The sequence below is a fragment of the Homo sapiens genome, chromosome 17 (assembly GCF_000001405.40).
Source record: "Homo sapiens chromosome 17, GRCh38.p14 Primary Assembly".
In the NCBI taxonomy this organism is placed as follows: domain Eukaryota; kingdom Metazoa; phylum Chordata; class Mammalia; order Primates; family Hominidae; genus Homo; species Homo sapiens.
Window position 1 is genome coordinate 63,059,653 of NC_000017.11, and position 27,806 is coordinate 63,087,458.

Genomic DNA, 27,806 nt, shown 5'->3' on the forward strand with positions numbered 1-27,806 from the left:
CTTGTCAACCTCAGAATGTGGCCAGTTAGTGTTTTGTTTTGTTTTTTTGTTTTCTTTAAACATTTTATGATCTCCTGGCCAGTGAGACCCTCTTCACTAACCTTTTTGACATGACCATAATTGAGAATAGTCTTGATAGTTTCCTTACTATTGGGGATGTCAGATGTTCCAGGTTCATTTAGTACATTTCCTTTTCAGACCAGCTAGTTCTTTAAGAAGTCCGGGTTTCTTTTAATGGAGAATGGCATTTCAAGATCACAACCTGGGCACTAGACATGTCCACTGCTACTGGATCAGTCTGTTTCTAGGCGTTTTCAGTGGATAGAGTTAGGATATACCTGTGATTTATAAGATTGTATTGATGTTTCCAATATAGATTCAGTATTACAGAATTTTTACTGTACTTCTGTACTACCTTCATAGCTCCTTTCTTCCACACTGAGAAATCTGGTTCGTAAGGGAAGATAGAAATAGTGTGTCCCATAATTACTCGCTTGCTTTATCCCTCCTTATATAGAGAGTGGTCTGAGAATATTACCACCACCAATTATTGAAATCAGTTAATTTTTGTTGTTGTTCATGCTGTCTCTATTCTTCCCCATTCACTTATGGTTGTACTGTACATGTATTGTCAGATCATGTAGTGATTACATACTACAATCTCTCTCTTTAAAAGTCCTCGTTTGGGCTGGGCGTGGTGGCCCACGCCTGTAATCCCAGCACTTTGGGAGGCTGAGGCAGGCAGATCACCTGAGGTCAGGAGTTCGAGACCAACCTGGCCAACATGGTGAAACCCCGTCTATACCAGAAATACAAAAATTAGCTGGGCATGGTGGTGGGCGCCTGTAATCCCAGCTACTCAGGAGGCTGAGGCAGGAGAATCACTTGCACCAGGAGGCAGAGGTTGCAGTATGCTGAGATCGCACCACTGCACTCCAACCTGGGAGATAAGAGCGAAACTCTGTCTCAAAAAAAAAACAAGTCCTCATTTAATCTTAATTCTGGAAACAACTGCATATTTAATCTCACCACTAGTGCTTATTTTGATATCTTTCTAGTTATTTTGTTGGCTTAAAGTTCTTTTTCTAATGGAACTAGGAAGAACTAATAACAGTATTCACTGAGTTTTTACATGTTGATAGCAGTTTGTCTTTACCCCTTATACTTAAAGGTAAGTTTTACTGAATGTAAAATCTTTAGCTCAGATTCTTTGTGTATTTTAAATATCTTTTTCCATTTTATTCTGTTTCTTTTTCTTTATAAATCATGTTTTGGAAATGAGGTTTGATGTGTGCCTACAGTCCCAGCTACTTGGGAGGTGGAGGCAGGAGGTGGAGGCTCTTTTTGAGCCCAGGAGTTTGAGACCAGGGTGGGCAGTGTAGCAAGACCCTGTCTCAAAATAAACAAATTTAATTAAAATTTTAAAGATTATGGCCAGGCACGGTGGCTCATGCCTGTAATCCCAGCACTTTGGGAGGCCGAGGTGGGCGGATCACCTGAGGTCAGGAGTTCGAGACCAGCCTGACCAACATGGTGAAACCTCGTCTCTACTAAAAATACAAAAATTAGCCGGGCGTGGTGGCTGGCACCTGTAATCCCAGTTACTGGGGAGGGTGAGGCAGGAGAGTTGCTTGAATCCAGGAGGTGGAAGTTGCAGTGAGCCGAGATCACGCCATTGCTCTCCAGCCTGGGTGACAAGAGCGAAACTCTGTCTCAAAGAACAAAAAAACAAAAAACAAACAAAAAGATTACATGATAGTTTTGCTTAAATACTCAAATGATCCCCCCCTTTTTAAATCCAGTAATTTTAGTAGAATTTAGTGCATTGATCTAAGTTGATAATGTCAAGTATACAGGGTACTCTTGAAATACATAGTTTCAAGTATGTGTGTGTGTGTGTTTATCCTTCCATGTATATATGTCTATGTATGCATATATGCATATTAACATAAATACATATATAACTAGATGTATATATACATATATAAAACATACATATACATGCAGGGTTTTTTTTTCTGAAAAGGGATCTTGAATTACAGTTTTTCTGTTCTCTCTGGTTTTCTTTAGAGATTCCTATTTATCCTTATGCTGGACCATCTTTGCCTGTCTTCAGTATTTGTCACTTTCCTGCAAATCCTTTTTAATCCCTTTCTTCTCTTTATTTGTTAAAAACTTTCCTCCCTTTAACCTTCTCTTTCTCTTAAGATCATTTTGTTTATTTGATCTTGCGTTTCTTCTAGTTTAGTCTTCATTACTGAAATGAATTTTATTTATAATTCTTTTCTGATTTCTGTCTCTTCATTTCTGAGTTTTTCTGATTCTGATTTGTATTGCTCTTTGATGTGTTATCTAATTTTCTTAACATTTTTAGAACTTTTTGAAATTGCACATTACAGTTTTGAATTGTATATTACAGCTTTAATTTTTTTTAATAAGCCTTTTTGGTGTAGTTTCATTGGAGGTATTACGATGCTTTTTATTCTCTTTCTTTCCTTTCCTGTCTTTGGGATTTGACCCTGATGCTTTCTTGTTGATCATTTTTGTTTAAAATTAGTTTACCCAAGTATGTATAAGGAGACATGTCATGATAGCTTTTTCTAACTCCACATAGCTTTCTCTTTTGTTGTTTTTTTGTGAAGTGTTACATTGCAGCTTGCCTTCTAGCACTGTTCTCCTCTTGTACTTTGATTTAGACTTTCTCTTTTCTTTGTCCCTTTTGTCCATTTTCTGCTGAATTTTCATTCCACTTCTAGGACTTTCTTTTTAGCATGGAGCCGTAGCTTGGCACATCAGTTTCAAGAGTACACATGGCTAAACTGGTCCAGCCTCTTCTGAACTTTCTACTGCAGGCCCCATGTACTCATTTGTTCTTAGAGTGGGCAAACACCTTTCATTGTCAGCTGGTGTTATCAAATTAATTCTTTGTATTTTCCGGTGAGTTGCATTCTAGTGATTGCCAGTTTCGTGGTCTGTCATACACCCTATTGCTCCCCAGCCCCCTCCTCCCCATTTTGTCTCATTTAGATGCTCATTAAGTTTCAGGTCTATAGCTGTTTTGTTTGTTCTTAGCAATACCCATTTATATTTTAGGGTTTGCAAGGATACCTTTTGTACAAAGGAAAATCCAACAGTATTCTTCTACTATACTCTTCATACAGAGCACTTCTGTGACCAGATGTGTGGGGGCATTTTTTCCCCACCACGCAATTCTTCAATTCTCTGAAGACACCAATCAGGTGTCCTATAATTCAATTCAATTCTGGCTACTTAGAGTTTAGAGTCAAATCCCATTGGTTAAGGGCTCAGTCCCACAAACATGACAGTCACTTCAGATGCCAGTTGCAAGTCTGAGTTTCTAGTATTTCTGACAAGGAAAAAAATTGGAGGTCCCCACAACCCCTTCCTCAGGTTTGAGCATTTGCTAGAATGTCTCATAGAACTCAGGGAAACACTTTACACATGTTTAGCTGTTTATTATAAAACAATATGACTCAGGAACAGCCAGATGATAGAGATGCTTAAGGCAGGGTATTGGATAAAGAGCCCGGAGCTTCCATGCCCCCTTGGGGGCACACCACTGTGCACATATTCAGCAACCCAGAAGTTCCCAAACTCTGTAGTTCAGGAATTTTTATGGCGGCTTCGTCACGTAGGCATGTTGGACTGTTAATTAAATCTCTAGTCCTTCTCTCCTTCCAGGAGGATGGGGCATGATGGGCTGAAAGTTCCTAGCTTCTAATCATGGCTTGGTCTTTCTGGTGACCAGCCCCCATCCAGGAGCCCACCAAGAATTAACTCATTAGAACAAAGGACACTCCCGTCACCCAGGAAATTCCAAAAGATTAAGAGGCCTGTGTCAGAAACTGGGACAAAGACGTGTGTGTGTGTGTGTGTGTGTGTGTGTGTGTGTGTGTGTGTGTAGATATATCTCTTACAGTATCACACTTCGTTACCCAGTATTGTGTGTGTGTGTGTGTAGAGATACATCTCTTACAATATCACACTTTGTTACCCAGTATTGTGTGTGTGTGTGTGTGTGTGTGTAGAGATATATCTCTTACAATATCACACTTTGTTACCCAGTATTGTAATTCTTGTTCCTGGGTAGTTGTTTTACTCTCTGTTATTGTTCTGATGATACTTACGTTGGAATTTTGGAAGATCCAAAAACTGTTCCACTGCCACTACCTTTTCACGATTTTCTCTATAATTTTTTGATGGCCCAGAGTTCTTAACTAAGGTGTCTTCCATCAGTGTCTGACATGTTTAAAATATGTGGGCTTTTATCTATATTCTGAGCTTTTAAAGATGCTGGACATCTACTGAGTATGTAATCTTCAATATATATATGGACAGGTTCTACATAATGATTGCTAATGCTGTATAACTGTAAAATGACATGAATCAGTCATATAATTAATTCAAAGAAGTCTGATAGAATGAAAAAGTAAAAGTAATTTGGTTCCATTCAATTTGGGAGGTATAAGAATTATAGTCTTTATATTAAAAAATACTGGGGCCAGGCACAGTGGCTCACACCTGTAATCCTAGCCGTTTGAGAGGCTGAGGCGAAAGGATTGCTTGAGCCCAAGAATTTTGAGACCAGCCTGAGCAACATAGTGAAACCCTGTTCTTTACAAAAATTACAAAAAAAAGTTAGCCAGCTGTCTTGGTGTGCCTGTGGTCCCAGCTACTCAGGAGGCTGAGATGAGAGGATCACTTGAGCCCAGGAGCTCAAAGCTGCAATGAGCCATTATCACACCACTGTATTCCGTTGTGGGTGACAGAGCGAGACCCTATCTGAAAAACAAACAAACATACAAAAACAAACAATTATACAGTCATTTCACTAGGAGACTCTCAGAATTACTTTTAAAGTATCTCTTAATCTCTTAAGCTTGATCTAATATTGATACATAAATGCCTGTCCTATTCAATGATAAACTCCTTATAGAGCCTTTTTACAATTTTCCTTTTATATATTTCCATCTTTTTAAATATATTCCTTTTCAAATGGTTGGAATACAAAAATTATTGTGGATTTTATTGTCTCTGGATAATCTATTAATCTTTATATACTGTTTATTGTATATTAAGTTATAATTTAAAAATAAAAGTATATATTTATGACATACAATGTGATGTTTTGATATATGTATGAATTGTGAAAGGATTAAATCAAGCTAGTTAACCTATCTAATGTCTCAAACTTTTTTTTTTTTGCTTTTTGTGGAGAATATTTAATATCTGTACTCTCAGCAATTTAAAGAATTATGCAGTGCACTATTATTTACTATAGTCACCATTCTGTACAATAGATTTCCGGCACCCATTTCTCCTATCAAACTAAACTCAATACCCTTTGAGCAGCATTTCCCCGTTTCTCCCTGCACACCCCTGCTCCCTCCAAGCCCCTAACAACCACCATTCTACTCTGTTTCAGTTATTTTGACTTTTTTAGGTTCCACATATAAGTGAGACAATGGAGTATTTATCTTTTTGTGCTTGACTTAGTTTACATAGCATGATGTCCTCCTGGTTCACCCATGTTGTTGCAAATGACAGAATTTTCTTCTTTCTTAAGACTGAATAGTATTACATTGTGTATTCACCCACACATTCACCACATTTTCTTTATCCATTCATTGGTTGATGAACACTTAGGTTGATTCCATATCTCTTGGCTATTGTGAACAGTGTTGTAATGAATATGCGAGAGAGTGCAGATATCTTTTTGACATACTGATTTAATTTCCTTCAGATATATACCCAAAAGTGGGAATTCTTGAATCACATGGTAGTTTTATTTTAAAATTTTTAAGGAACCTCCATACTGTTTTCTATAATCGCTGTACTAATTTTATATTACTACCAACAGTGTACAAGAGTTCCCTTTTCTCCACATCCCTAGCAACATTTATCTTTTGTCTTATTAATTATGTATGAGGTGGTAGCTTATTGTGGTTTTAATCTGCATTTCTCTGATGGTTAGTGCTGTTGGGCATGTTTATATATACACCTGTGGGCTCTTTATATGTCTTCTTTAGAGAAATGTCTATTCAGGTTCTTTGCCCATTTTTAAATAAGATAATTTGTTCTCTTGCTATTGAATTGAGTTCCTTGTATATTTTGAATACTAGCTTCTTATCAGATGTATGGTTTGCAAATATTTTTTCCATTTTGTAGGTTATCTCTTCACTCTGTTGATTGTTTTCTTTGCTGTGCAGAAGGTTTTTTTCTTTTTTCTTTCTTTGAGACAGGGTCTTGCTCTGTCGCCCAGACTGGAGTGCAGTGGGTGACAGATTGCACCCAGTGGTGCGATCATGGCTCACTGCAGTCTTGACCTCCCAGGCTTAAGTGATCCTCCTGCTTGTTGTCTGTGAGTCAAGTCTTGGTCCTGTAGCCTGGGCCTGCAAGGTACGTCCTGTTGTCAGGGTCTATTGGGATGGGCCTGGACCTGGGTCAGCTGGAGCCTTGGCCCTCAGGGTCAGGCCTGGATCCTGGGGCCACAGATGCTAGCCTGGCAAAGGGTGGGTCTGAAGCTTGGGACTTTGAGAGCTGGCCTGGTTCTGGGGCTAGTGTGGAGCCTGTGGCTGGCCTGGAGTCTGAGTAGTTAGGAGCCTGCCTATAGCATCAGGTCCCTTGGAATGGCCTGGCGGTGAGATAGGTCTGGAGCCCTGGGTATGTGGGGCCAGCCTGGTGGTAGGGCAGGTCTGGAGCATGGGGCTGCAGGGTCTAGCCTGGAGCCTGAAGCTGTCGGGGCTCACCTGGCACTGGGGCAGGCGTGGAGGCTAGGTTTACATTGTAGTTCAAAAGCTAGGAGTGGTGACCAGGGCACAAAAAGAGATATCTACAGTGGAAGCCCTCTAAATCTGTTTTGAGGAATGAGAAAGGAACTCAACACTCAGAATATGCCAAATGCTCACCACCCCTTTCCTGTTGTTTTATTTTCTGCTGCCCCAACCCCCGACCTTAGTGGTAACATCAAGAATTCACATAAGCCAAAATACTGAGAAAGGGGAACCATCCTCTCTGGTGGAGCTATAGTACCAAGAGTTGTCAGGCCATTCTTTAGATTATTAATGAAAGCTTTTTTTTTTTTCATTCTTCCTAGCACTGTGCTCCAGACACAGATATAGTCATGAAGTACATGCAGAGCAAGGTTACTATAGCCCTAGGTTTGTCAGGGTACCAAAAGAGGAGTCTTAGGGAAATGGAAAGTGCTGAAAAGATTGCTGTGAGGGGCACCTCAAAGTCAACCCCATTAAGTTTTTATGAGCTCCTGGAGTCACCCCTGAACTTCACAGGTGTGAATTTGGTCCTAATTGTCATACCATGGACTTTAGAACTGACCTAACAGATCACTGCCCAGCACCCTGACTGACCACTTCAGGGTACACAGGCAGTACAGATATCAATAGCAAAGGCTTTGAAAAATGTAACTAACATTTCCTGTAGTATTAAAGAAGACTTGGAGTTTCATAACTCAAAACATTCATAATGTCCGGATGCAACCAAAATTATATACAAAGATTGACATACAAATTACATATGAAATTGATACAGAAAGAACTAGGAAAATAGCAATTTGCAAGGGAAAAGACAACAGATACCAACTCCAAGAGATGACCAAGATATTGGAATTATCTGACAAAGATTTTAATGCAACTATTATAAAAATGCTTCTCTTTGGGGTGAAATAATGAAGGAAACCTTTTATTGTTACTATAACAATTGATGCCTCTCTTCTGAAGTGTAACATATTTCAGCCTGAAAAGTCTTAAATTTTTATCTCTCATGTATGAAATTAAATCAACACCCTATTTTTTATTTTATTAAAAATAATAATAAATAAATTCCCAATGGGAAAAAAATTAAAAAATACTCCAACAAGCAATCATGTGAACCTTCTTGAAATGAAAGGAAAAATAAAGTCTTAAGAAAGAAATAGGAGATATATAAAGAAGAACCTAATGAAAATTTTAGAAATACTAAATATAAAGACCCAAACAAGAAGCAAACTTGATGGGTTCAGTAGCATAATGGAAGTGACTGCAGAAGGAGTTAGTGAACTTGAAGACAGATCCATAGAAATTATCCAAATCTAAACAATAGAGAGAAAAGCAGGGGATGGCGGGGAAGAGAACCACAGGGATCTGTAGGATAATAACAGAAGATCTAGATTCATAACATTGGAGTTCCAGAAAAAGAGAAGGAAAAATGTGGTGTTAAAATAATATTTGAAGAACTTATAGCTGGGAATTTGTCAAATTTGGTAAACAGCACAAGTTTACAGATTCAGGAAGCTGACTGAATCCTTAATAGGATAAATGCAAAGAAATTCATACTCTATCACTATGTGATCAATCTGCTGAAGACTAAAGATGAAGAAAAAGTCTTGAAAGCAGCCCGAGAGAAATAACACATTACCTAGAGGGGAACAACAATTTGAATGACTGTAGATTTCTCATCAGAAAACGTGCAGATCAGAAAGTTGTGGCAAAAATAGGCAGAGGATATAAACAAGAATATACACACACCAAATGGCCAGTAAAACATATGCTCAGCTTCATTATTAATGAGGGAAAGGCAAATTAAACAAGAATCAGATACCAATTCGCGTTGTTTAGCAGAAATGAAAAAAACCTGAGTAGTATTCGTGAGATTGTGAGGAAATGGGAACATTAACTTTTTGTGGAAATAAAAATTAACGCAACTGTCTTTGGCAGAAATTTGGTTGCTCTTATGGAGTTTTTGCATTATATTATTTAGTAGTTTCGCTTCTATATCTTGAACATGTGCACAAGGAGCTTATATACAAGCAGATTAGACATGTGCTATAGGAAATGGTTCATTGCAGACTTCCTTTTGAAGTACTATAAATTTGGAGACTATCTAAATCTTCATTAGTAAGAGAATAGATACAATTGATATATTCATACAGTGGAATACTAGAGTTAAAATGAATTCGACAGATAAATTTCAAAACATAAGTATTAAGTAAAAATGGCACATTGCTGGATGATATAGTTTCATTACACTTACATAGTATAAACATTTGTGGAGGCATATATATGTAATAAAAGTATAAAAACATGCATGTTTTTATTCTAGAGTTAAAATGAATTCTAGAGTTAAAATGAACGTCCACACAGATAAATTTCAAAACATAAGTATTAAGTAAAAATGGCACATTGCTGGATGATATAGTATCATTACACTTACGTAATATAAACATTTGTGGAGGCATATATATGTAATAAAAGTATAAAAACATGCTTGTGATTTTACATATTAAGATATAGCGGTTAATTTGGGGAGGGATGGAAGAAGGGAAACTGTATTGGAGAACTGTATAATGAAAATATCAGCTGTGTACAACTGGTAGTGTTTTAGTTTAAAACAAATTGATGTAAATATGGGAAATCTTAAGATTTGGTGAAGTTTGATAGTTGCTATATCAGTGTGAGTTATATTTTTCACCGTATTTTCTATATATTAAATTTATTTACAATAAGATAATTAACTTATTTGTATATAATTTTGATAATTATGATTGTTATGAACATTTACATTATGAACATATTTCTCAGCTATTGGCACTGTTGAAATCTGAGGCCTGATAATTCTTTGTGGTGGTAGGCAGTCCTGTGAATTCTAGAATATTTAGCAGCATCCCTAGCCTCTGCCCTTTAGAAATGAGTAGCACTCTTCCAATTGTAACAACCAAAAATGTCCCTAGAAGTCCGTGGTTTGCTCCTGGTTGAAAATCACCAATTTAGAGACTACAAAGTGCTGTCACATGTGTTAGCTCATTTGAACCTCACAACAGCCTTCAGAAGAAGATGTTACTTTGACCTCAGTTTTACAGATGAAAACACTGAGACTCAGAGAAATCATCTAAAAATGACAGATATGGAACTAAAACTCAGGTCTTATTATGCCCACATACTGACTTTTTGTTCATTTGTATGTACATGAGTATATATTCCCACACATTTCCTGGTAACCTTACTAAAAGTAGAATACAAATTAAACATTCTAAAAAGTTTCTTATTTTTGTATTTCATTCACAGGCATATTATTTCATATCTCCTCTAGTAATTTGTTGATGTCTGTCTCAGGCATCTTAGTGATTACTGGGTTCCATTGTGCTTTTTTCATGAAAACTTCTTATAAATAATTACAAATTAAATAAAAGGAGTAGGTCCTCTACAGAGGACTGTTGTATTCTTCTGTTTTGCCTGGGTCTGTCTTTTTTGACATGCCATATTTTCATTCTGCATTTGGAGAAAATAGGTTACCAATAGAAACTTTTGCTGGGCTGCTTTTATTTCCTTATTAACTATCATGAAGTGTTTATGTAAAATACTTGTTTACAGAAATTTTTATAAATGGATTTTCATATTCAAAATATAATTTTGGTTTCAAACCCAAGTATCAAATTCAGACTGTAGAAATTATGTACACATTAGTTTTTCATGAAAATAGGAAATGATATTACCACATAATCTAGATATTGTGGTTTTCAACAATGTTTATTTAGAATAAAAACCATAAACTTAAGGGGAAAAAAAATCTCTTTCACAGTGCATTGTGCACTTTTAGTCACCTCGCAAGAGCCTTTCTTGGGCACAGAGAAGATTGAGATGTAACATGTAATTAAGCAGTCAGGTATTCCATTCATTTGGGGTGGTTTTTTGGGAATTTTACATTTTACTCACTAAAGGATCACCTAGAGAGAGCCAAGAAAAGGGTCCTTGAGCCCATGCAGCCATTAAACTTTCAATGGCCCCTAGGCCGGACATCATTTGCAGAGCCGCCTTCTCATCCTTACTGGCCTTACTCTCAAGTCATTCAACTCATTCCTTTTCACAGAGATTGCTCTAATTAGCCTTCTAAACTAATCTCCCTGCCTTTAGATCAGGGGTCATTTCCCACTGGCCAAATCTAGGTCACTCCTAGTTTTTGTAGGGCCCATAATCTAAGAATGGTTTTTATATTTGTAAATGGTTAAAAAAAATTAAAAGGATAATAATATTTTGTGACATATAAATTATATGAAATGAAAATTTTAGTGTCCATAAAGAAAATTTTATTAGAGTAGAACCACATGTGTTTGTTCATCCAGTATCGAAAACCACCACCCTAGTCTCTACACTACTATAAGGGGTATCTTTTTAAAATGCAAATTATTCTAGGTAAATGTGTTTAAAGATTTTTTTAAAAAACATTAAGCAGGTCAGGGTTCTTAGTTGTTTCTCACAATGTAATTTCTATGACAGCACATGCAGGTTAACATTGTGCCTCACTATAGGTGAGTTAAAAATGTTTCCATCTCAAGTGGTTGATTTGATAAGAGTAATTCATATATCAGTGTCATGAGCATTGACCTTTTCACTAAAAAGAAAATGTATCGTATTTTCACACTGTAAGCATTTAGAAAGAACTACTTTTACTTACTTCTTTTCTTGTTAGAGCAGCTTTTTTCTTGAATTCCTTGTAAAGCATGTATACCTAAGCTTGCTGTGATAGATTTCATAGATGTGGGGAATAGATGCATGATAGGGACTTTAGTTACCTAAGCATGGGTATACAGAATGTCAGGTGCCAAATTTTCTTAATAGAGTGTAGAATTTTTTTTTTTAAAGAGTCAAGGTCTCCCCTTGTCACCTAATTGGAGTGTGGTGGTGTGATCATAGCATAGCTCATTGTAACCTCAAATTCCTGGCCTCAAGCGATCCTCCCACCTTGGGCTCCCAAAGTGCTGGGATTACAGGTGTGAATCATTTTGCTCAGCCCTAGAATTTCTTAAATAGTGGTCTTCATTAGAAAGGAGCAGTAATATAGACCTGGAGAGGGAGGGTTATAGGGTTGGCAGTGTACCAGAATTCCTACTGAGGTACTTTATTTTGGTTGTGGCCAGTTGATTGTCAAGAGAAGCTCTCTTTTAGTAGAATGAATAGACAGAGACACCAAACATGGCTTTTGGGAAAAACATTTTTTTTTCTTTAGAGAATATATCTTTTGATTTTATATTGGAAGCACATAGGAAGGTTATATTGTAAGACTAAGTCTTCATAACCTGCTTTGTTAGAATGCCTCTATTCTGTAAAGGAATAATTGCTATAGTTACTGATTAGTGCTTTTTTAACATCGTTTTTATGAGAAAAGAATAAAACGGGAACATGAATTGAACTCAAAATATTTAATAAATTTGGGTAGAAATTAGTATCAGAGAGATGTATTGAGTCAAACATCCTTGGGTTAAAATCCAGTTTCATTTTTACTGGTTTTGTCATTGGATTTCAGTTAGTCACCATGAGTTTCAGTGTTCTCAGCTGTGAAATAGGTCTTTACTTCATAGGGCTTTGATGAACTATGTAAAATACCTGGCAGAGAGTACATAGTAATTATTGGCTGCCTTTCTGTTCTTAAATACATTTTAGAAAGAAGAGAAAACTTTAGGATTTTTGGACATATTGAATATTAATTCACAAGAGAGTGAGGTAGAAGGAATCCTAGAGGGTTTAAAACTTAGAAATTAAATTTGAGTTGGCCCAGTTGAAATACTGAGCCTTATTAAAAAGAATCCATATTTATAGAGTTGTTTACTTAGAATTTGATATACAGTTAAGAAGGATTGTAAATGTTCACATTTCCTTTAAAAGGACAAAATTAAAGAATTTAAGTTTTAATTTCAACAGAGGCAGATCAGCCATTCAGAGATGATAATCCATGAGTAGATTTTTGCTTTAATTTTTAAAAATAATGTCAAAGAAAAATTTCTTATATTTGTCTTTCAGATAACACCTTATTTTGTCAACATGTCTATTTTTATTCAAATGTGGTAACTTATATAGTAACAGCAGAACTAAAATAAACTGATTTATATTTAAAAAGTATTTTCATACTGGAGGAAAAAATATGGTTGCCTATCACTTTGAGTATCTTTCTATGTGATAAGTTATTTTACAAATCTGACTAAATTAGTGGAGTGTTTTACTAGATTACTGTGGACTAAGAGATATGAATATTTCCTGGCAATGTACTTATTATTTTGTATTGTCGTCGTATATTTGGAATCGATTGATTAAATGTTACTGTACTTGCTAGTTTAACAGCCCTCTACAAAATAGAGAATAGTTGATATATATACATGAATTGGATTTAATTATTGCTAGGCCTTACATATAATAAATATACTTAAAAGGAAGCTTTATATCAATAATGAATTAAAAAACAGGCCATTCTGTTTAAAAAGCAATAGATGTTACTACACGAGCTCTATTAAAAACAATAAACCATAGAATAAGTAGATGACAGAGCAAGAATACTCTTTATTAAACCTGCTTGCAGCTACTACCCCTTTTCCCTGTCAAGTTAAAAATAAGACAAGTGATTGTATGAAAGAACGAACAAAGGAAATTGTTTGATGCCTTAATGCATTTTTCATCTGATTAAAGTGATAACAAATTTATAGGTGTATAGACCACTATGTTAAAGATTTTGCTTGGTTTAGTTTCATATTTTATATTATACTTTACATTCTTAATATATTAATTTCTGTTTTACTGTGCCTATTTTAATGAATTTATGATGCATAATTTTTCTGTTTCTATATAACAAAATTGAGGCAATTATTTACAATAAAGTAAAATTTGTTTTAGCTTTTCTTAACATGCATGAGGGAATATACTGTTTTGGTTATTTCTTAAAAGAAGATGTATACAATGAAATGGATTTGTTTCTATATAATTTTAAAAATCATGGTAAAATAAACTCAAGATTTATTTGGTTTTTAGCTTTTATTGATTTATTTTATAGGTTTATTGATTTTTATTTCATAAAACATACGAATGTAATTCTTATTATAGTAAAACAGTACTAGGGATTATTTGATGTGCTGTTGTACTTTAGACAGAAAAAGCAGCTGTAATTAATTTAAAAGATTGTTTTAAATCAGGCCTTCTTAACTGGAATTCTGTGACTGAACTTTGGTGTTGATAACTTTCCTTCATTATATGCAAAGTAGAGTATATACATATGGGGGAGGGGAAAAACACCTACACTTTCTTAAGACTTCAAGAGGGGAGTGTAAACCCACAAAAATCAGGGTAAGAACCATTGGTTTATATAAGAAAAATCCTCAAATATTTTAATGATCCGGATTATAGGAAATACAAATAAATGATCGATATAGTAGTTTTAAATGTAGATAATGTCAGAGACACTGTTATGTCAATCTCATTATCTATTTGCTTATGCTCCTTTTAATTTTATGCAGATGGAGGGAGCGAGGAACCACCGGATCGAAGACAGTCAAGTGTAGACTCTCGCCAAAGCCGCTCTGGGCAAGGTAAATTTTCATCAGATTGATTATTAAATTTCAAAAAATAACGATAGATATTTCTTTCTAGTACTTAATTTGGAGACTAGGATATTGCCATGGTATAGTTTAGATATTCTAGTTTCTCATTTAGGATTTAAATGATATGATGTAAAAATCTATATATTATTTATTCAAGATATATGAAAATTAAATATTGTCTTGTGCCTGTTTTTTTAAATGATATTAACTTTTAAGTAATTTTGAAGCATTATGGTATATATCTGGATATCACTTTTGGAATGGATCCAAAAGTGAATTTTCAACACCAACATTTGTTGGAGTATCATCACACACTGGCTTTTTAAATTTCATCAATATAGTATTTGTTGTCTTAGCTGTCTCAGAAGAAATGGTTTTTGTTGGTAATTGCTATATTAGGATCTTCCTACTTATTTTTCTTTTCTATTTAAAATTTATTATCATAGGCCTTTGATTAATTTTTGAAGGGACAACTTCAAAACTAGGTAAAAACATTCTGAGTCAGTGAAATACCCAGTTAGACCTTTTCTAACTTATTTAACATTGCATGACCACCAGCTCTCTATTCCTTTTTCTTTATAGTACTTACCACCTTCCTATTTATTCTGTTTATTTTCTCTGTTCAAAACTAGAATGGATGTTGCGTGATAGCAGTGATTTTTATGCTTTGTTCACTGCTGTATCCTTATGTGCCAATAATAAGTACATAGTATATAGTAGTCACTAAATAAATGGTGAATGAATGATCTGAAAGAGAATGAGTTGAGAACCCAAAATGATGAAAAATAGATTATAAAATTTCAGACAATCATTTATTGAGTTTGGTTTTCAAAGAATCTTTAATAGCATAAAATAAAATAAAGCTGAGATTTACAGATGTGCAGTTTTTAATCCTGTAAAAGCTTCAGATTTATTTATTCTATAATCGTGTCCCTCTTTTTCTCCAAGTTTGCTCTTCCCAGTTTTTAGAGCTGTACTATTTTTATAAAACTGTTTGTTGCAGATTAAAAAGAGGAATAATATGAGTTGAAAATTTTAACTTATGCTAATACTTAATCATACTTAAGTAATAAGCATGTATTATGACTATGTCTGGAATTTATCTTATTCACTCTTATTTTCCCTGTAAACATATTTTGATATAAAAATGAGATTATGTAAAACTCTAAAAATAAAATTAGTACAAATTACTACTAAAATTGTAATTATTAAATGTCAAATTTTATTAAGTATCAAATATAGATGTTTGAAATCACTTATCTAATTTACTCTGAGCTTTGTCAGTTAAAATATTTTTCAAATCAATGAGCGTAATTGAATTTTATTAACAAAGCTAAAACTTCAAACAACAAAACCAGGGATTTCTGTGATCCAGAGGACAACTACGTGATCTCAATTTGAAGTCACCAGGAATTGTATCATTGTTAGAGTTAATTGATAGTAAAAGCATGTTTCTTAACTTTTTAGAGATTTTATTTGTAATATCTCTTTATTCAAAAGAAATATATATATTTTTTTATATGGAATCTTGCTTTGTCGCCTAGGCTGGAGTGCAGAGTGCAATGGCTTGATCTTGGCTCACTGCAACCTCCGCCTCCCGGGTTCAAGCGATTCTCCTGCCTCAGCCTCCTGGGTAGATGGGATTACAGGCCCGGCTTTTTTTGTATTTTTAGTGGAGATGAGTTTTCACCATATTGGCCAGGCTGGTCTCGGAACTTCTGACCTCAAGTGATCCATTCACCTCACCCTCCCAAAGTGCTAGGATTACAGGTGTGAGCCACCGCGCCTGGCCAGAAAGAAAATTATAAAAAACTATCAATAATGAGTTGAAATGAATGAGAAATAGTATTAGGAGTAAAAGATGGGATGAGTATAAAACGTTTGTTACCTCGAGAAACCCACTGAAAGATCAGTAAAGAAGGATTGGAAGGAGAAAGTATCAACACAGTTTTAGAAACTGGAGAGTATATGAATAATTGAAAACTGAACTCCAACAGTAGCAGAGGAAATCAACAAAACAACCTCGAGAGGTCTCAAAAAGCTTGAGAATGGCAGTGTGTGGAAATGGAGATGCAGTGACAATTGGTTGAAAGTCAGATGAAGAAGCATTGGGTTTCTGGAACTTCCTCCCCAAAACCACCTAACCAGTCAGCTGGGCAAATGCTGAACTCCTCACCCCTAACCAAAAGCAAAATTTATCCTTAGGAGTGGGGAAAACCAGAAACACTGTAGCCTGGGAGACACCAGGCATAGTTGAGGGCAGAAGTCCCATGCTAAAAATGGGAGAATTGGACCTTAGATATCTCTCTCCTGTTTTCTCCTACTGGGCTCCCAGAATACTGGCAGTTAGACCTTCAGATTTCAGGCAGGAGGTTGGAAAAAAAAAGTCTTTTCTGGAGAATCTGACCAAAAAAAGGAAGATAAAAGAAGAAAGAGGAAATTTAGTCATCAGAGATTCCTGAAATAAACAGGCCAGTTAGCTCACTCCATGTATCAAAGCTCCAAATCAGCTTTTCAGTCCCCTGCCCTTAAATATGAGCAGCTAACAAAGATGAGTAGATATTTGAAGAAACTCTCTAAATGTATGAAAGATAGAAGTTAAATGGAATAAAACAACTTGGAGAGACATACATTTTTGCAGAGGAAAATTATAGAACTATTATCCCCAGAAATAAGAGAAAATAACCATGAAACAAGAAAGAAGTACATAAAAGAGTGATATTATGACTTTAAAAAAGGCTCTTAGGCATTGAAATTCTGATAGTAAAAACCAAAAGCTTCGTAGAATTATCAGAGACTAATGTGCTGAAAGAAACTCTGAAAAAATAGAGCAAAAGGACAAAAATAAGAAACGAAGGAGGAGTGTTAAGAAAAATCACAGGATCAGTCCAGGAATTTCAGTATTCAAATAATAGTTGTCAAAAGAAACACCAGAGAAAATGGAAAAGAAATCATCAAGATGATTCAAGATAATTTTCTTAACTGAAGAGCATAAAGTTTCCTGATTGAAAAGGCTCACTTTGTGCTTAGTACAATGGATGAAAATAGATCCAAACTAAGGCACATTGTGGTGAAATTTGAAATCACTGGAGCCAAACAGATCGTTCATGCTTCTGGGGGGTGGGAGGGAATGAGTTGGCTTTGCACTTCTCAGTCGTAGCATTGGAAACTGAAAAATAAAGCAGCATCTTCAGTATTCTGAAGGAAAATAATTTTCAATCTCTGAATTCCATATGCATTGATACTATTATTCAAATATAAGAATAGAATTAGATGTATACATTTTCAAAAACAATCTGCCTGTCTTATACACTTTCTAAGGAATCTGTTGGAGGATGTGATCCATCAAATGAAAAAGTCAGCCAAATGAAAGAAATGAATTACAAGAGACAGGAAAGTCAATAAAGCAGAAAGATCCTTCAGAATGACAATAAAAAGAAGGGGATAGAGGGCTAGCAGTTCAGATTGGAGTGGGTTAGAAGCCTCCAGAAGAGTGGTCTTCAGGAAAATGAGATTGGTAGAAACCTGATGCAATTAATTGTCTTTAGAAAAGTTTTAGACAACTGATGAGAGTCTCAAGGTTGAAATGGTGATAAATACATAAAATAGTAAGCAAAAGAAAGTTCTGAACTACAGGGAAGATAAATAATGTGTAAGAAAGGAGATGTTAGAATAATGTCGTCAGTTCTTTAGCAGAATCCAGAGTAGTTGATGTCCAAGCCAGTCACCTCCAGTAGAAAACGTGATCAGTTTACTTAATTATGTGGTACAAATAGCTTCATTATTTATTTGATTTGGACTATTATGATAGGAAACAATGCTCTAAAGGAGGGCAAGTCTGACCTGTGACTTTGTTTTTGTATGGTTGGTGTATTTGATTTGCTAAGAATTTAAATTATTTTTGCATCTATATTCACATGGAATATTGACTTTTCATTTTCTTGTTTTCTAATGTCTTTATCTGGTTTTAATATCAGAATAATGCTGGCCTCATAGAATAAGTTGGAAGTTTCAACTTCAGTTTCCTCCTCTTCAGTTTCCTAAGCTACATCGTGTAGAATTGATATTATTTCATCCTTAACTGTTTGATACAATTTCTCAGAAGCTAATTGGGCTTGGAATTTTATTTGCTGGAAGGTTTTTAAATGTGAATTCAAGTTATTTAATAAATATAGGACTATTAAAATTATGTGTTTCTTCTTGAGAAACATTTTAATATCTGCATAATCTGTAGTGATGTAAGCATTCTCATTTCTGATACTGGTAATTTGGGTATTCTTTCTCACTGTCCTGATCATTTTGGACAAAGATTTGTCAGTTTTATACATCTCAGAGAATCAGTTTTGTATTTGGTTTCTGTATTGCTTTCCTGTCTTCTATGTCATTGATTTATACTTTGTCCTTTATTATTTTCTTTCTTCTGCCTGCTTTGGGTTTAATTTTATCTTTTTCTTGTTTCTTAAGGTAGAATCTGGGGTCATTGATATGAAAGCTTTCTCTTCTAATATAGGAATTTAGTGTTATAAATTTCTGTTTACTGCTTTAGTTAGTTACATAGATTCTGATAAGTAGTATTTTCATTTAGTTCAAAAATACCCTTTTGATTTTTTCTTTGACCCATGTGTTATTTAGAAGTATGTTGATGTAGTTTCCAAACATTTGGAAGTTTTTCAGATATCTTTCTCTTATTGATTCTTACTTAAATTTCATTGTGATCAGAGGACAAACTTTCTGTAGGTTGAATCATTTTAAATTTGTTAAGACTTGTTTTATGGCCCAGGAAATGATCTATTTTAATAACTGTTCTGTGTGCGCTTTAAAAGAAAGTGTATTATGCTGTTTTAGGGTGGAAGGTTCTATAAATGTCAACCTGATCACGTTGATTGATAGTGTTATTTAAGTCTTCTATCTTCTTGCCGATTTTCTTTCTACTTGTTGAACAGCAAGGAATATTGAAATCTCAGGCTATAACTGTGGATTTGTCTATTTCTCCTTGCAGTTCTGTCACATTCCTTGTACCACTGGTCCTCTGATAAGAAAAATTCCTCTTCCTCAGAGATTTATGTGTCTCTTCAGCTATAGCTGCTGGTTGTGAGATGGGCTTGCTTAGGAACAGGGCTGGATGAGAAAGGTAAAAGAAGAAAAAGCCAGGGGATTTCCCCCATTCACGCAGTCCCATATAGAGGCCCTCCATTCCCACTTTCTAACCAGAAAGAGAAGACTTATTTTGTATCTCTTTGTGTTTGTTCCTGGTGTGTAGCTCCAGGATTTGGATTCAGGCTTGGGGTTTGGGGTACATAAAAAACAGCTGGAAACTCATTGCTGAACTGGTTGTACTTTAAGTTCTAGTTTTCTTCCACAGTTTGCCCACTATTGTTTTCTTTTCTGAGTCTCAGATTGCTGGTTCATCATTCTTTCCAGGATTTTCAGTTATATTCAGGGGTTTTAGTTACATTCAGTTAAGGCATAGTGTGCTTACTTCATCTTAACCTTCTGTTTTATTACAATATAGATAGCACTCAAAATATTTTAAAATTAGTATGCATGAACATCAACCTACCAGGACAGATGCTAGTTCATTCAGAACAAACGCTAGCTGTAGACAGCTGATCCCCATATAGGTGCATACTGCCTGATAATCTGCCCTGCCTGATTGTGGATACAGTTTCTATTTCATGTTTCTTCTCCAGTAGCAGCAGAAATATATGTTGTCTGTTGGACTGTGCCAATGTCTTACCCTCTGTGCATGAGGGTCCTTTTCTTTCCTTTGTGTTAACAAGTTCCTTGGTCTCTGATCTGTCTCTCTGGTACAGTGGATTTTGACTCAAACATGCTCATACTCACTGTTCCAGTTTAGGGGCAGAGACCTCCAATGTCTTCTGCTTATTATATGTAGGAGATGGGAGACAGGCTCTTGAAATGTGACTGTAAAACTGATTGTGTTAGTTTAACCCCAGTATGACTGCCGCAGGTTAGGTGGTTATTTTCTACTTTCCAATAGCGTATTATATATAATTGCACTATATTACTTACTATATTTTGTCTTATTTGTCTATTGGGTCTCCATTTTTCCTAGTAATGTAAGAGTTTATTAATAGCAGGGTCTTTGCATACAGAACAGTGCTAGTGCCTTGTATTTAGGTTATCAAGTTTGATGAAGGAAACTACAATTCCTGGAATTCGGATTCTGTATTTCAGAAATCTTGAGTTACTTTATCAGAGTTGGTTTTTTTGTTTGTTTTACTGGCTCCATTTTCTGCATTAAATGATTTTTTTCATTAGTGATCATATATATGTAAGCAACTTACTTGGTTCTAGACATTAAGTGGGTAGATGAACCAGCATGATATGATTGAAACCCAGTTTTTATTTTCTTTTGCAAAAATAGCATTATGCAGGCATTGAGTTCTGGTGTACAAGATGTGTACTGGTGTAATGATGTCCACGAAACCAGCTCATGCTGGAAGATGGGAAAATGCGGACGATGTGGCTTTGCATGATTTCCATTATTTGTAGCCAACTTTATTTGATTAATACATGCTGGTGTGTCAATAGAACTAGTATATTAAATTGTCAAATATACTATATTCTGATCCTCTTTCCTTGCAAATATGTAAAATATTTAGTAGAAATGAGATGTTTATGCTCTTGAAACACACAAATTATTCTTCAGTCTGGAAAGTTACAGTGATTTCTTTATTGAACCAACTGTGGTTAATTACGTAGAGTGACAAGGAAATTATTTCAATATTCAGTGTATTATTTCTTTATCTCAGTATAAGAATATATCTAGTATAGTAGCATTACTAATGAATAAGACCGTTCTGTTTATGTGCCAGGTTGTAAACTAGGTGCATAATCCTCATTTAATTATCAGAATAGTGTTGTGAAAGTACTATTATTTTCCTACAGGAAATATTAATTTTATATTATATTCTGGCTTTATAGTTATCTACATCCCAAGTTTCAAATCAGTATTGTTGGTAGCATGTATTTAGAACCTTTTCATTCTGATATATAAAGTATATATTTGTTTGTTGGTGGTTGGATAATATTTGGAAGATCTGAGCTTAAATGATAAATCCCTCTGAAATATCTTTATTGCTTGTTCTGTATTTCTTCAGAAATTTAATTTGTTGTAGATTTTTTAAATTAAAACACTATTTTTATAAAATTAAACTTGAGATGCCTTTTGGAATACGTAGCCCCAACTTGAGGCCAATAATTCATTATTATTTAGAATGTTAGGGATATGTCTTAGAATGTATTGTTATAGTTTCATTAATTTTTTAAAAAGTTAATTTATACCAAACAATGTAGACATTTAAAAAGGATATGTTAAGGCTTCTTCCTGTTCCACTCTCCTAAAGTAACAAATACCTACATTCAGTTTGTATCTTTCCATGTTTTCCTCTGAGCTCATACTGGCATATGCAAGGATGCGTATGCATATATAAACCAGTTTGAAGGTTTTTGAAAAATAAAATGCAGTTTTAGTTCTCCCCTTCTCTCTCAATTAACAGTATAGCATGGCCATCCCTCCAGGAACATACTTAAATTCTTAATTTCTTAAAATCTGTATATTGGTTGATAGTCTAAGTAACCCATTATGTATTCCACTGTTTCCGCATATATGAGTGTTCAGATTTGCAAAGTGATTATGATAATTAATTTATAATCTTAAGCTCTTGGAATACGTAGCCCCAAGCACATTTTGTATCAGAACATATTAAATAGACTATTTAGCTTATGATAATTGGCCCAATTAACACTAGAAGCCTTGTAGAAGCCGCTCCTTGCTTATTCACCTTTATGATAGAAAAGGAATAAAAGCATGACAACTAAAAAGTTTGGAAGGCCGGGCACGGTGCCTCATGCCTGTAATCCCAGCACTTTGGGAGGCCCAAGGCGGGTGGATCACGAGATCAGGAGATCAAGACCATCCTGGCTAACATTGTGAAACCCCGTCTCTACTAAAAATACAAAAAAAAAAAGTTAGCTGGGCGTGGTGGCGGGCGCCTGTAGTCCCAGCTACTTGGGAGGCTGAGGCAGGAGAATGGCATGAACCCGGGAGGCGGAGCTTGCAGTGAGCCAAGGTCTTGCCACTACACTCCAGCCTGGGCGACAGAGCGAGACTCCATCTCAAAAAAAAGAAGTTCAGAAAAGGTATGAACATCTAGAAAGATTTTATTTTAAAATATTCTTATGTGAATTTTTCTGGTAAGAGATAAAAGTTATAAAAAAACTTTGTAAGTCTTTTTGAAGGGTCATAAACAGTTGGATAAGAAATTATTAGGAAGGTATCTATTGGTAAAGCCTGGGGAAAATTATTATAGAGTTGATACATTTTTTGTTTTGTTTCATATGAAGAGCAGTTGGTTTTAATGTTTTTTTCCTAGTGAAAGTTTGAAGAGCTAGTTCCCACAAGGGGGCAGAATAAGACAAACCTGAAAACCTTCACACTATAAACACAGAAGTGGTAAATAATGTAACAAAATTTATTTTAAATTTATAGTTGATTTATTAAGAAGGAAGGGGAAATCACAAGGAGCTAGAAATGAGCAGAGAGGTAATTTTCTGATCGTCCTATGAATGGTACCATATATTGGCATATGTACCTACCTGTCCCCCGGCACATGTATGGACTGTAGGGTGATCATTCAGCTGTGGCCTTAGATTAGTATTGATGAGTGGAAGTTCATTTTGCTAAGTCCATGTATAAACTCCATCCCTTTGTTAATGAGGGTAGGGTAGAGTGGCTGGTTAGGCCATTTTCATTGGCTGAGACTGACTGAGTCCCCAGAACAGGCCATCTTGTTTACCAGGTTAAGCAGCCCCTTCTCTGCTGTGTTTGCTCTTTGTCAGGTATTCACATGGGGCATAGATTACTTCATGTGTGTTCCCTTTCAAAGAGATACAGCCAAATTCTTTGACACCAGATATCTTTGTAATCAGTTTTCTAATTGTTCCAAGTCTCTGAATATCCAGTAAAACCATTAAACACTGTCCATGAGTCAGTATAGAACAGTACCTCTGTTATCTCTCCTTACAATCAAAATGGACAATCAGGCCCTGCTCAAATTTCTGCCACAGGGAGGGCTTCACTTCTTCACTTCACCACTCCTTCAGGACCACCCCTGAATGGGGCTGCTGTGCTGTTGTCATCTACGTGTCATGCAGAGCCATGACATAACTACTCTGCCAGTCACTTCCTGTAGCTGTGTCTTCATCCAGACCAAGTGATGAGAGAACAGACAGAGAAAAAAGCAACAGCAATGAGGATGTACTTCACACCCTTGGGACCACAACTCCTGGGATAAGAGAAAAAGATTCCCTTCTCTCAGACTTCAGGTGCTTGCCCAGTCACCACTACCATATCCGCCTGGGAACTGGGATGGAAGAAAAGGGGGAAAGGGAAAAAAAGGGGGAGATTTCCTCCAGTCTCTTGGAGCCATAAGGGCCCCTTTTTCTGGTCCTCAGACCAGAAAGGGAGGGATTCTCTTGGAGTTTTTTCTGATCTTACCCAGTAGATACTTCTCTGAGTTTTGAGCTCTCCAAGCCAGGTAAAATGCAAGGAAAAAACATAGTAAACTCAGTACCACTTCAGAACTTTAAGTTCTGTGCTCCTTCCCCAGTCTGCCTGATAATATTTGTTTTCAGTCTTCAGACGGCTTTTGGATATTGTCAAATGCTTTTTATGGATCTGATCATATGGATATGATCATGTGATTTTTCTTCTTTAGCCTGTTCATGTGATTGATTTTGTTAATTGATTTTCAAGTGTTGAGCTAGTCTGGCATACCTGGTATAAATACCACTTAGTCATGGTGTGTAATTCCTTTTATACATTTTTGGATTTGATTTGTAAATATTTTATTGAGAATTTTTGCACGTACGTTCATGAGAGAAATTTCTGTAGTGTTCTTGTTGTATCTGTCTGGTTTTCATATTAGGATAATGCTGACCTTATAGAATAAGTTAGGAAGTAGTCCTTCTGCTTCTACCTTTTGAAAAAGATTGTAGAGAATATGTGTAATTTCTTCCATAAATGTTTAGTAGAATTTACCAGTGAACCCATCTGGGCCTGGTGCTTTCTGTTTTGGAAGGTTACCAGTTACTGATTAAATTTATTTAATAGTTATAGGCCTATTCAGATTGTCTATTTTTTCTTGTAAGAATTTTGCCAGATTGTGTTTTTCAAGGAATTGGTCATTTTATCTAGGTCATCAAATTGTGGGTGTAGAATTGCTTATAATATTCCTGTATTATCCTTTTAATGTTCATGAAATCTGTGGTGATACCCCTCTTTCATTTCTGGGATTAGTAATTTGTGTCTCTTTCTCTCTCTCTCTTTTTTAGCCTGGCTAGAAGCTCCTCAATTTTATTGATCTTTTCAATTTTTTTTCTTTTCAAAGAACCAGGACTTGGTTTTGTTGATTTTTCTCTATTGATTCCCATTTCCAATTTCATTGATTTCTGCTCTAGTTTTTATTATTTCTTTTCTTCTGCTTGCTTTGAATTTAATTTGCTCTTCTTTTTCTAGTTTCCTAAGATAGATGCTTAGATTATTGATTTTAGATCTTTCTTTTCTAATATATATTAAGCACTATAAATTTCAGTCTATCACTGCATCCCGCAGATTTTGAAAAGTTGTATTTTTATTTAGTTCAAAATATTTTAAAATTTCTTTTGAGATTTCTTCTTTGAACTGTGTGTTATTTAAATGTGTGTTTACTATCCAAGTATTTTGGGATTTTTCAGCTATCTTTCTGTTATTGATTTCTAGTTTAATTCTGTTGTGGTCTTAGAGCAACCATTGTATGATTTCTATTCTTTTGAGTTTGTTAAGGTGTACTTTATTGCCCAGAATGTGTTCACTTGTAATGAACATTCCATGTGCGCTTGAAAAGAATGTGTATTCTGCTGTTGTAATGTGAAGTAGTCCATAGGTGTCCATTATAACCAGTTGATGGATGGTGCTGTTGAGTTCAACTGTGTCCTTACTGATTTTCTGCCTGCTGGATCTGTCCATTTCTGATAGAAGGCTGTCAAAGTCTCAAGTGTAATAGTATATTCCTCTATTTATCCGTGTAGTTCTATCCATTTTTGCCTCATGTTTTGATTCTCTCTTGTTACATACTCATCAGTCAAGACTGTTAAGTCTTGTTGGGGAATTGACTCCTTTAAAGTTAGTTTTTTGTAAGTAACACATTAGTTGGGTCTGTTTTTTTGACCCATTGTTACAATCTCTGACTTTTAATTGGTATATTTAGATTATTGACCTTTGAAGTGATTATTGATATAGTTGGATTATTATCTGCCATACTTGTTACTATTTTCTGTTTGTTGCCCTTCACAGTTTCTATTCGTCTTCTACTCTTTTCTGCCATTTGTTGTTTTAATTCAAAATTTTATATAATTCCATTTTCTTTCCTTTCTTATATCACTTCTTTTTTCACCTTTTTTAGTGGCTGCCTAAAATTTGCAATATATATTTACATAAATTTAAGTTCACTTTCAAATAATACTGTACTATTTCACAGGTAGTACAGATACTGTGTAATAACAAAATATCCCTAATTCCTCCCTGGCATCCCTTATATCATTGTTGTCATTTATTTTACTCACACACACACAAGCATACATGCACATGTGTGTCTGTATGTGTGTGTGTATATGTATATTATACATATACACATAGCACACACAAGCATACATAATCAAATATATTGTTGCTATTATTATTTTGAACAACTTATGTGTTAGAACAATTAAGAATTTTTTAAAAAGTCTTTATCTTCACGTATTCATTCTCTAAGGCTTATCCTTTCTTTATGTAGATCAGACTTTCTGACCTATATCATTTTATTTCTCTGAAGAACTTTTAACATTTCTTGCAAGGCAGGTCTTCTGGCAACAAATTTTCTGTTTTTGTTTGGGAAAGTCTTTATTTCTCCTTCACTTTTGAAGGATGATTCTGCAGGGTATAGAATTCTAGGTTTGTTTTTTTTTTAACCACTTTATTTCATTCTATCTTTTCTTGTATTGTTTCTGAGGAGATATCAGGTATATTAATAATTTTTTCTTTGCTTTCCTGTAGGTAAGGTTTTTTTCCCTCTGGTTTAAGATGTTTTTGTTTCTCTTTGATTTTCTGAAGTTTGAATGTGTTTTACTGAAGCATAGTTTGTTTGGCATTTATCCTGCTGGGAGTACTCGGAGCTTTCTGGTCTATGGTTTGGTATCTGACATTAATTTGGGGAAATCTTCAGTCATTATTGCCTTAAATATTTCTTCTTCTGTTATTCCCATTATGCATATTTACACCTTTTGTAGTGGTTCCACAGTTCTTAGGTGTTCTGTTCTTTTTTCTGTTTGCTTTTCAGTTTTGAATGTTTTTATTGACATATCCTGAAGCTCAGACTCTTTCCTCAGCCACGTCCAGTCTGCTAATGAGGCCATTAAAGGCATTCTTAATTTCTATTCTAATGTTTTTGATGTACGTTTTCTTATTCTTTCATAGAAGTTCCATCTACTTATATTACTCATCTGTTCTTGCATGTTATCTACTTTTTTTCATGAAAGCCCATAGCATATTAATCATAATTGTTTACATTTATAGTCAGAACCAGTTTATAGCAGGGTGTTTAATCCCTGCTGTTGAGAGGTGAAGCCAGCTGGACTTCCTGGGTCAAGTGGGGACTTGGAGAACTTTTCTCTTACAAGAGGTTTGTAAAACACACCCATTAGTGCTCTGTAGCTAGCTAGAGGTTTGTAAAATGCACCAATCAGTGCTCTGTAAAAACACACCAATCAGCGCTCTGTAGCTAGCTAGAGGTTTGTAAAATGCACCAATCAGCATTCTATAAAATGGACCAATCAGCACTCTGTAAAATGGACCAATCAGCAGGACATGGGCGGGGACAAATAAGGAAATAAAAGCTGGCCACCCCAGCCTGCAGCGGCAACTCACTGGCGTCCCTTTCTGTGCTGTGGAAGCTTTGTTCTTTTGCTCTTCACAATAAATCTTGCAGCTGGTCACTCTTGGTTCCGTGCCACCTTTAAGAGCTGTAACAATCACCACGAAGGTCTGTGTCAGTGAGACCACAAACCCATCGGAAGGAACCAAATCCGGACACACTGTAACTGGGTGTGTTTCTAATCCTTGCTCTGTCTCTTCCAACAGTATCTTTCGCCTTTTAATGTGTCTTGCAATTTTTTGCTGAAAGGTAGACATGATGTTTTGAGTGGAAGGAACTGTGGTGAATAAACCTTTAGTAATGTAGTGTTCAGGTGTGTGGGAAAAGGAAGCATCTAAGTACTTTGGTAAGTTCTTGTCTTTTGGTGAGCCTGTGCCCCTTCCCTATGAACTTTACCAGTGCTTCTCTGTTTTTTTCTTTGTTTTTCTTTGTTTTTTGTTTTTTTTCTCCCTTCT

At 35.4% G+C, this 27,806-nt stretch overlaps 1 protein-coding gene across 20 annotated transcripts in view, besides 2 other annotated features; it reads left to right on the plus strand.

Annotated features, from left to right (window-relative positions):
* Positions 1 to 27,806, plus strand: part of TANC2 (tetratricopeptide repeat, ankyrin repeat and coiled-coil containing 2) — a 461,469-nt gene that overhangs the window by 93,418 nt on the left and 340,245 nt on the right. For all 20 annotated transcript variants that reach the window (XM_011524597.3, NM_001394998.1, XM_006721810.4 and 17 more), the window contains exon 3: positions 14,291 to 14,362. In XM_011524597.3, the coding sequence (XP_011522899.1) occupies positions 14,291 to 14,362 (72 nt within the window). The remainder of the gene's footprint in view (positions 1 to 14,290; positions 14,363 to 27,806) is intronic.
* Positions 6,127 to 6,644: an enhancer, noted in NCBI's record as "H3K27ac-H3K4me1 hESC enhancer chr17:61143140-61143657 (GRCh37/hg19 assembly coordinates)". NCBI's record gives its function as "activates a minimal SCP1, AML or CMV promoter by ChIP-STARR-seq in primed H9 embryonic stem cells {active_cell/tissue: H9 hESC(primed)}" and the evidence as "EXISTENCE:reporter gene assay evidence [ECO:0000049][PMID:30033119]".
* Positions 6,645 to 7,161: an enhancer, noted in NCBI's record as "H3K27ac-H3K4me1 hESC enhancer chr17:61143658-61144174 (GRCh37/hg19 assembly coordinates)". NCBI's record gives its function as "activates a minimal SCP1, AML or CMV promoter by ChIP-STARR-seq in primed H9 embryonic stem cells {active_cell/tissue: H9 hESC(primed)}" and the evidence as "EXISTENCE:reporter gene assay evidence [ECO:0000049][PMID:30033119]".